This window comes from Homo sapiens, chromosome X (assembly GCF_000001405.40).
Source record: "Homo sapiens chromosome X, GRCh38.p14 Primary Assembly".
NCBI lineage: Eukaryota > Metazoa > Chordata > Mammalia > Primates > Hominidae > Homo > Homo sapiens.
Window position 1 is genome coordinate 124,213,369 of NC_000023.11, and position 10,358 is coordinate 124,223,726.

The 10,358-nt window shown below is 40.6% G+C and overlaps 1 annotated feature.

Moving 5' to 3' along the window:
• Positions 3,609–5,369: an enhancer, noted in NCBI's record as "VISTA enhancer hs1745". NCBI's record gives its function as "enhancer in: hindbrain (rhombencephalon)[8/8] | midbrain (mesencephalon)[8/8] | dorsal root ganglion[7/8] | limb[7/8] | branchial arch[7/8] | cranial nerve[7/8] | nose[6/8] | facial mesenchyme[6/8] | other[7/8] | ear[8/8]" and the evidence as "EXISTENCE:transgenic organism evidence [ECO:0001131][PMID:17130149]".

Sequence of the window (10,358 nt, forward strand, 5' to 3'; positions counted from 1 at the left end):
TTTCCCCTAGCAAGTCCACTCTCCTAACCTACCAGCATACAGCTCTCCAGGTCAGGAAATCCACAGTGGTACAACACTACCACTCAATCTGCAGACCCAATTAAAACTTTGCCAACTGTCCCAACAATGTCTCCTTTTCCTTTCTGGTCCATGATTCCATCCAGGAACACTTAGTTACCAGCAATTAGTTGTCATCAGTGTCCATCTAGTATTTAGTTGTCGTATCTCTTCAGGCTCCTTCAATCGGAGAGAGTTCCATAGATTTTTCCTGTCTTTCATGTCCTCAACAGTTTTAGCAACTACTGATTTTACATTTTGTAGGATGAGCCACGTTTCCTTATGACTAGACTCAGGCCACATTTTCTTGGCAGGAATACCCTAGAAATGATGCTGTGTTCTTCTTGGTGCATTGCATCAGAGAGCACACAATGCCAACCTATCCTGTCACTGGTAGTGTTAACTCTAATCACGGGGTATATTGGTGTCTGCAGGTTTCTCTAGCATAACAATGTCCCTTTTTTTTCTCTTTGTAATTGATCAGTATTTTGTGGGGAGATATTCCCAGATTATGCCAACATCCTGTTTCTCATCGATCTTCTACCCACCACCCTTAACTGCCTGAATCAACCAGGCAGTTAATTCAGTTATGTTATGGTGGCCAAATATTGATTCTCATTCCCATCAATCTTTCTACACTTATTAGTTGGCATTCTACTGTATGGAACAGAAGGGCTTCTCCTCTGTTCCAGTTATCTATTGCTGTACATCAAGCTAGACCCAAATTTACTGGCTTAAAACAACAAGAATTTAGCTCATGAATCTGCAATCTAGGCAAGGTGATATTTTAGCTGGGGCAGTCAGCTGGGGTTAGAGGATCCAGTTCCAAGGTGGTTCATCACTCACATGACTGACTAGTTGTTGCTGTCTTTTGACTGGGACCTCAGCTGAGGCTGCCAGCCAGAACCCTCACATGAGGCCTTGCTATGTAGCTGCTTGATTTCATCCCAGCATTGGGGTTGAGATTTAACAGCAAGTATCCCAAGAGAGCAAGGTGGAAGTGCATGGCCTTTTTCTAATACAACCTCAGAAGTCACACAGCTTTCATTTCCATTGTATTCTGTTGGTTGAGGCAGTCATAAATATCCATCTAGGGTCAATGGATGGGGACATAGCTCTTACCACTTGATGGGAAGATTGTTAACATCACATTGTAAGAACAGCCTATAGGATAGAATATATTGTGGTGGGTATCTTTGTAGATATAGTCTGCCCTATCCTTTATTTATTTATTATTTATGTATGTATGTATGTCAATATGGACTCATGGAGTCCTATTTTGTATAATTGGTTGCGATCCATTACTATCAACGTTTATTTTGATGCTCAAATTTTCCCAGATTTGACCACTGGGAGCCCCTTTCAAGGTGGTCTCGGTGTCCTTTTGACTTGTTCCCATTATTCTTTGAGCACTTTTTCTTTAGTGGAGGGTGGTATATGAAAACTATTATCTGAGCTCTTGGTGGGCTCATTGCTGCTGGGCTATTATTGCTTGCAGGTGCTCTTAGCAGACAGGGCTGGAAAATATATGTATGTATATATTAATACATACATGTGCATATATACACATATGTACATCTATAACTATTTTTATATCTCTCTGAGTATATATATTTAAAACATGAATTTATACCCAAACCTCCAATTTCAACCCAGAATGTTAACATTCGGTCTGGTCTTCCTCCTTTCTGTTTTTAGTATCTTCTCCAACAGTGAGAAGCCTGCCACTTATCTTCAATATAATCTTCACTTATTTGCTCAATTAATGTAAACAGTCTCTAAACCACATGAGTCTACTCTCCCACCTACCACTTCAACACCCCACCACCAGTGATCTACATTCTCAAACAGGATCAGGCACATTACCAACGAACTTCCAGGTGGCATTCTGTATCGCTTCAGCATCCCATGTCTTTGGTCACCAATAGGCACTCCTCCAGCACATCTCTGCACAGCTCCCCTCCTCTCTGAAACTGGTCAAAATGTGGTACAGGGTCTTCACTTTTTGAAAATCCACACTAGCTCCTTTTTCATCTTTAAAAAATGCAAATTCGATCATGTTGTTCCCCTGCTTAAAACCCCTGAATGACTTTCTGGTCCTTAGGCTAAATCCAAAAACTATAATATGGCCTACAAAACCCTACATCATTTGACATCCTGCCTGCTTCTTCAGTATCATCTGAATTATTTCTCTGGGTTCAGTCAGTTTCCCAGAGTGGAATCTTCCAATCTTCCGCTTGGCATGTGTAACCTGGCTGTCAGTATTTTGGGAACTGAGTCAAGGATGGGGACTGGAGGTCTCAATGTTCAGAAGGCAGACTCCAACTTAATCCCAGTTTTCAACATAGCTTCTCAGTGGGCCCTCAGCTGTGCTTGGTTTAAATGTTTTCTCCCCTGCTGGGATGGAGGGAGGGATTTGGGGGCTGTTTCTTATCATCATGTTCAATCTATCATCCTGTTTTCAACTCCATACCAAAACTCCCACTTTCAGAGATAACTGGTACCCTCAAAACCTGAGCTTTTTGAGGTTTGGAGTATAAACCGCATCCTTGGGTTTTGGCTTTTTCTAATCTGCTAAACCACTCATTTAGCCATTCTCTAGTTTCCATATTTGCACATGTACACGCATGCACGCGTGTGTGCTTCTTGCTTATTATAGCCTCTCCCCCTTTTTCCTTTGTACTCACTGCATTTGGCCTTTTAATCCCCTGTTCTTTTTTTGTGGGATCTCAGGAAGGAGCTCAGATAAGTGCATGTGTTCAATTTGCCCAATTTAATTGGAAGTGAAGTTGTTTTAAATAACAAACACCTGTTTCATTTTAAAGCCAATCCCATGAACAAAAACTGGATTTCCTGGAATCATGAAATATTATAACAAAAAATGTTCATCCAGTCCATTGTTTCTTGTCTTTTTGCTACCAAGTATCTCTTTTATTATATTATATCTACCCCTCACTCCAACCCCACAATTGAAAAGATTCAGACTTCCAAACCTTAGTTTGGGAAACTTTGCTCAAGTCAATGCCCTCGTTTTACAGATGAAAAGACTGAGGCCAAGAGATAGAAGTGATTTGTTGAAGTCTAACCACTAATAAGGGGCCAAGTTAGGATGGGCACCCAAGTCTCCTACTTCCTCTTCTGCTGCTTTTCTATCTAGGATGTGAGATTTCTGACTGCCCCCAAACTGATGGGAGGGTGAGGGAAAACTTTCCTTCTGACTGTGGTTTTTCTTAGCAACATCATTACTGGCATTGAAACATTACTTCTTCTGGTGGCTAAGAGGAAAATGCTCTCCGCCACCTTGAAGGCCACAGGTGGCCAGACATTCTGGGAATCACTGGAGCTTTCTCAGGGCCACAGGGGAACCGTTTGTTTGAAATGTAATAAAGGTTCCTTTACACCAAACGTGGAGAAAAAGCTGCACTGGGAACACAACAGAATCAGCGTGAGAGGTCTTTTCTAGCCACTTAACCAGCCAATCAGCAAGGGGGCGCCTGCTGGGAACTCTTTCCTCTCCTGGAAGTTACCAGGGATACACGGGCTTGGCCCTGAAGGGGCTTCTGATCAAATTGCAGAGACCAGACAGCTTATCGAACAGCTTATAACCTCTCTAAAGGCAGGACCTTTCTTATTCTTATTTCTTGTGGGCCTCAGTGCCCCAGGCCTCCTGCTGGACACATGTTAGTTACCTATAGCTTAATTAAAGCTTCTTTGGTGCATTATTTCCTCTCCCCAAAGTGGAAATAATGAGCGAGTGCTGAGCTGATGTGACCACGTAGCCCCATTCCCCAAGGTAAAGTGACTACATACATTTTGTCTTGGAAACTCACTGCCTTCTGCAGAGTCCTTTTTCACTGGTAAAGGTTAAGTTTTGTTATTCTCCTGGATCTTTTGAAAACAATGCCTATAAATGAGGAAGCTAGCAATAAAACCCCTACTGTTTGTATAGGCTTTGTAGCTTACTGTGATCTAATTTAATCTCCTATCTTGTCTTTTTCCTCAGTGCTTTGTACACAAATGTTATTGATTCCCTCCAGAGGCAGCCATGTGTGGTAGAATAAACAGCATGAGTCTGGAGTTTTAGCACCCACCTCTTCAACGATCTGAGTGCTGTTAGGCAAGCTGCTTCCCCTCCCTAAGCCTCAATTTACCCGCATACAGAATGAGGAAAGGGTTTGGACTCCACAGAATCTGAGGCCTCTCTAGTTTCTCATTGGAGTGCAAGTGCCATTGTGTGGTTTCTGCTGTGGGCGTGGTTGTTCCAAACCAAAGGGCAGGGACAGGATGCAGTCTGCTGATCAGGGACAGAGGAAGAGAGACACAGCAGCTTTGCACATTTGTGGGTCCTTATTCCCTCTCCTTACATTTCCCAGACTGTTTAAGTTCATGATCTCAGGGCAGCGCCTGTCCGCCCCCTACCACACACATCATACTATTCAGAGTTTCTTTCCCAGGGTCTACTTTAAAGCCAGTAGATTTTCAGGGGTCTCAGATCTTCTTATTGCTTGCCCTCTTGACATCTGAGGCCTGAAAAGAATTTGGGTTGCCTGCCTAGGCAGGCTTCCGGAGGCCTCAGCCTTCTGTCTTCCGGGGCTGGGGGTAGGAGGGTGCCAGAGCACAGGCAGTCATTGTTTGGGTATTGACTCAAAGGAGAAGGAGCCACAATGCACAGGAAAAAGGATGAGCTCATGACAGCTAAATGAAAAGATTCTTATCTTGGAAACAGCGGTTTCTTATGCAGAACAAGGGGCGGCAATGTGATTGTGCCCAAGGAGTACATTCAACAACAGGGATTTCAAATGAAGAAGTTATTTTGCATACTTACGGGAGGAGCAATGGGCCAGATTGTTCATTAATTAAAGGGGGGGGGTGCTGAACCCCCTACACACACACACACACACACACACACACACACACACACACACTGCAGAACTTAAATAATTCATTCGCTTTCTCCTCTTTCTCCTCAGTCCCAGATGATCAGCTGAGAGACAAATGTTTTTTCAACTCTAGCCACCTCTGGAGAAAGGATGGGGGAGAGGATGGGGGAGGACGGGAGAAGGGATGTGGTGGGGAGGGGAGGGGTGTCACAGATAACTAGAATGGCAGTGATCTCTCAACCATTTCTATTTGGTGTTCAAATGTATTGTACGGAGCTGGTGATTTTTTGTTTCCTTTTTTTGCACCCAGGAGATTTACCTTTCTAGTTCTGTTTGATTTCACATGAAAGAAGTCTGAGCAAATCCCCACTGAAGACGAGTAGAGGAAAGGAGAGAAATGCAGAGGGTGCAGGTCAGGGAGGCCAGGAATATGTTCTTTGACCACAGTCCCTCTCTTTCCCCAACTCTGACACGTGGTCCCCTGAGGGGAAGGACTAGATCTGTGGCTGTCCTGGAAATTCCGGAATGTAGGTCACCCACTAAATGGGTAATGCCAGAAGTGGAGAGTAGAGTTGTATGTGGTTGCAGGTGGGAGGCATCAACACCGCCCACATATCTTTCCTATCAGCCAGACTGCTCTCCTTCTACCCCAGATCATCTTTTGATTTAGGAATAAGAATGGTTATCATCTATCAAGTACTTTCACATTCATTACCTCTTTTATTATCCCCTCTCACATGTGTTATACATGTGTGCCAGATACTTTCACATATATTAGCTTATTTGAGTTGCTCAGGGACCCTGGGAGATAGCTCGGTATTACTGCTCCTGTCTTAGAAATGAGGATACCGAGGCTCAGAGACACTAAGTAGGTTACCCAAGGTCACACGGCTCAGAAATAGCAAAGCTGGAATTTGAACCCACATCGGTCTTGTTATCAACATCTGTGCTCTAAACTGCTATGCAATGCTAACTCTCCTCCCTTTCCCTCATTCTTCCCTACATCCACTTTGCCCTACTGTTACCCAAAAGGCAAACTTCCCATGTAGTTGGCATTCTGGCAAGCAAAGCAAGGACGGAGGTCTTTCATGAATGTGAGACACTCCTCTCAACCATGCATACCATCATTATGGAAGGCAAATTAAGGAAGAAAAGCCTCATAGATCTCCTCTCTACCTCAGGCTCACAGATAGGATTAACTTCTTTTAAGTGAGGATTATTGAGGTATAATTTTCAAACAGTAAAATTCTCCTTTTAAAAGTGCAAATAAGTTTCAACAAACATATCCTATTATGTCACCACCAACACAATCAAGACAGGATATTTTTATTACCCCAATAAGTTCTCTTGTGCTTCTTTGTGGTCAGTCTGCTCTCTCCATACACAACCTTTGGCAGCCTCTGATCTATCTTCTATTCCAGCAGTTTTGCAGTTTCAGAATGTCATATTAATGGAATCATAGAATATATACTCTTTTAGGTCGACTTCTTTCATTTAGCATAACGCCTTTCTTCCTTCCTTCCTTTCTTCCTTCTTTCCTTCCTCTTTCTTTCTTTCTTTTCTCTTTCTTTCTTTCTTTCTTTCTTTCTTTCTTTCTTTTTCTTTCTTCTCTCTTTCTGTCTCCTTCTCTCTTTCTTTTTCTTTCTGTCTTTCTGTCTTTTCTTTCTTTCCCTTTTTCTCTCTTTCTCTCTCTCCTCTCTCTCCTTCACTCTTTCTCCCTTTCTCTCTGTCACTCCTTTTCTCTCTGTCACTTCTTTTCTCTCTTTCTCTCTCTCCTCTCTCTCCTTCACTCTTTCTCCCTTTCTCTCTGTCACTCCTTCTCTCTCTTTCTCTCTCTCTCCTTCTCTTTTTCTCTTTCTTTCTTCTTTTCTTCTCTTCTCTTTCTTTCCTTTTCTTTCTTCTTTTCTGCAGGGTCTCACTCTTGTCACCCAGGCTGGAGTGCAGTGGCAGAATCATAGCTCCCTGCAGCCTTCAACTCCTGGGCTCAAGCAATCCTCCCATCTCAGCCTCCTGAGTAGCTAGGACTACAGGCACATGGCACCATGCCCTGTTAATTAAACTTTTTTTTTTTTGGTGGAGGTAGAGTCTTGCCATGTTGCCCAGGCTGGTCTCAAACTTCTGGGCTCAAGCTATCCTCCTGCCTTAACCTCCAGTGCTTTTGAGATTCATCCATGTGTTAGTTCATTCCTTTGTATTGCCAAGTAATATTCCATTGTATGGATGTGTCACAATTTGTTTATCCATTCTCCAGCTGATGGACATTTGGGTTGTTCCCAGCTTTGAGTGATAATTAGTGAAGCTGCTATAGACATTTACTTACAGGCTTTTGTGTGAATGTGTATCTTCATTTCTTTTGGGTAAATGCCTAGACATTGGGTTACCGGGTCATATGGTAAGTGTATCTCTAGCTTTATAAAAAACTGCTAATGGGGTTCAGTACATGCTACTTCAAAATATGGCATCTTTGCATTTGAGAAAACAGCAGAAATGGGAAAGTCACTCCCATCTTCCCCCTGCCCTTTCCCTCTGAAGCAGGTCAGAAAACCTAGGAAGGAAATCCAAAGTTGTAGGCCCTCCAACTTTGTTCTTTTGAACAAAATCCTTCCTAGGTTTTCTGCTCTTCCCCTGAAATAGGTCATAGGACCTTCATGTGAGAGGTGCCTTCCCTATACTTGGAGGAAAGGAACAGCCTTATCTCTGAAGACAAAGGGACACAGAATGAAATCTGAACAAACAGAGCTTGCAAAGTTTCCCCCAGTTTGTTACCATTAGATCATACCCTTTTGTCTTTCTATCATATTTCTCCGTGATTGTCCACTCTTCATCAAACCTACTATGAAATATACTCGGGTTTAACTATTTCTTTGGGTCTTCATTTCTTGACGAAGCCTTCCTTGTCATGTACAACTTATATTAAATAAACTTGTTTGCTTTTCTCTTGTTAATCTGGCTTTTGTTACAGGGGTCTCAGCCATGAAACTAGAATTGGTAGAGAAAGAGATTATTTTTCCTCCTCTATACTGTTAAACTGTTTCCAAAGCAGCTGTACTATTATGAACTCCCACAAGCAATGCATAAAAATTCTAGTTGCTCTTCATCCTTGCTAATACTTGGATAATGTCACTCCTTTTAATTTTAGCGATTCTAATAGATGTGTATTTTATCTCAATGTAGTTTTTACTTTGCATTCTCCTAATGATGAATGATGTGAAGTGTCTTTTCATGTGCTTATTTGTCATCTGTATCTCTTCTTTGGTGAAGTGTCTATTCAAATCTTTTGCCCATTTTTTAAAAGCTTTATTGAGGTATAATAGACATATAAAAACTGCACACGTTTAATGTATACAACTTGATGAGTTTGGACATATGCATACTCTCATGATACTATCACCACAATCAAGGTAATAAACATATCCATCACCACCAAAAATTTTCTTGCATTTCCCCCCTTTTTTTGTAGTAAGAATGCTTAACATGAGATCTACCATCTTGAGTTTTTAAGTGCACAATACTGTCTTGTAAACTATAAGCACTATGTTGTACAGCAGATCTCTAGAACTTATTCATCCTTGCTGCCGATTTTTAAACTGGGTTGTTTGTTTTCTTATGATTGAGTTTTGAGAGTTAATTATATATTCTGAATACATGCCTCTTATCAGATATGTGATTTGCAAATATTTTCTTCTAGTCTGTGGCTCTCCTTTTCATTTTTCTAGTCTTATCTTTTGAAGAGTTAGTAATTTTCATGAAGTTCAATTTTCTTCTATTGTTCATGCTTTTTGGAGTCATATCTAATAGATCTTTGCCTAACTTGAGGCAAAGAGAGGCAAAGAAGCAAACTCTTGAGAACAAAGAGTTTTCTCTCATGTTTTATTCTAGAAGCTTTATAGTGTTAGATTTACACTCATGTCTATGAGCCATTTTGAGTTAATTTTGTATATGATACAAGGTAAGGGCTGAGGCTTATTTATTTATTTATTTTTTTGCATATAGATGTCAAATTGTCACAGTAACATTTGTTGAAAAAACTATCCTTTCTTCACTGAATTGCTTTTGCACCTTTGTCAAAAATCAAGTGACCACATATATATGGGTCTACTTATAGACCTCTATTCTGTTCTGTTGATCTATATATTTAGCCTTATGCCAACACCACGCTGCCTTGTTTATTGTAGATTAGTAATAAGTCTTGAAGTTAAAATGTAGGTCCTCCAACTTTGTTCTTTTGAAAAATTGCCTTGGCTCTTTTATGTCCTTTACTTTTTCCATAGAAAGTTTAGAATCAGCTTGTCATTTTCTACAAAGCAGCCTGCTGTCTTTTTGGTTGAGATTGTGTGGAATCTATAGACCAATTCGAGAAGAACTGACATTTTGACCCTATTGAGTCTCTGATCCATGAAAACAGAATGCCTCTCCAGTTTTTTTAGGTCCTCTTTATTTCATCAATGTTTTGTAGTTTCAGCATACACATCTTGCACATATTTTGTAAATTTATTCCTAAGTATTTCATATTTATTATGCTATTATAAATGGTACTGTTATTAAATTTCTGTTTCCAATTGATATGCAATTAATTTTCGTATACTGACTCTGTATCCTATGACTTTGCCAAACTCAGTTCTAGTAGCTTGTTTGTACACTCTTTGGGATTCTTTGGTTAAATGATCATGGTGTCTGTGAATAAAGACAGTTTTATTTCTTCCTTTTCAATATTTATGTCTTCTATTTCCTTTTCCTTGCTTAATTGCTCTGGTTAGAACCTCCAGTACAATGTTGAATAGAAGTGGCAAGAGAAGACATCTTGTTCCTCTTCTTAGGGGAAAAGCTTTCAGTCTTTTACCATTAAGTATGATGTTAGCTGTGGGTTTTTCATAGATGTGCTTGATCAGGTTGAGGATATTTCTTTCTATTCTTAGTTTCCTGAGAGTTTTTTTTTTTTTTAAATCGTAAATGGATCTGCATTTTATCAAAAATTTTTAATGCATCTATTGAGATCAATCCTTGGATAAACACTACTTGATCATGAGGTATTATCTGTTTTTCTGTATTGATGGATTTAATTTGCTAACATTTGGTGGGGAGATATTTTCTGTCTATGTTCATGAAGAATATTTGTCTGTAGTTTTCTTATGTCTTTGTCTGGTTTGGTATTGATTGGGTTTTGGATTGAAGTTATTTTTTAAGTAGTGGGTCTGAATTCAGGGCTGGTTTGAAGCAACAGTGCTTTATGAAGGCCAAGTTTCTCTTAGGCTTTCCTTTCTTTTGCTTTCCTTTACTCTGTTAGGCCACACTACTGACCTTTCTTCCTGCAACTGCAGATGGCGCTGGACCCTCAAATAGTCCCCCTGCTGCTCAGCGCTCTGGACTTTTATGTCTTTCTTCTTTGCTCCACTTCCAAAACAACAACACAATGCATAAAAC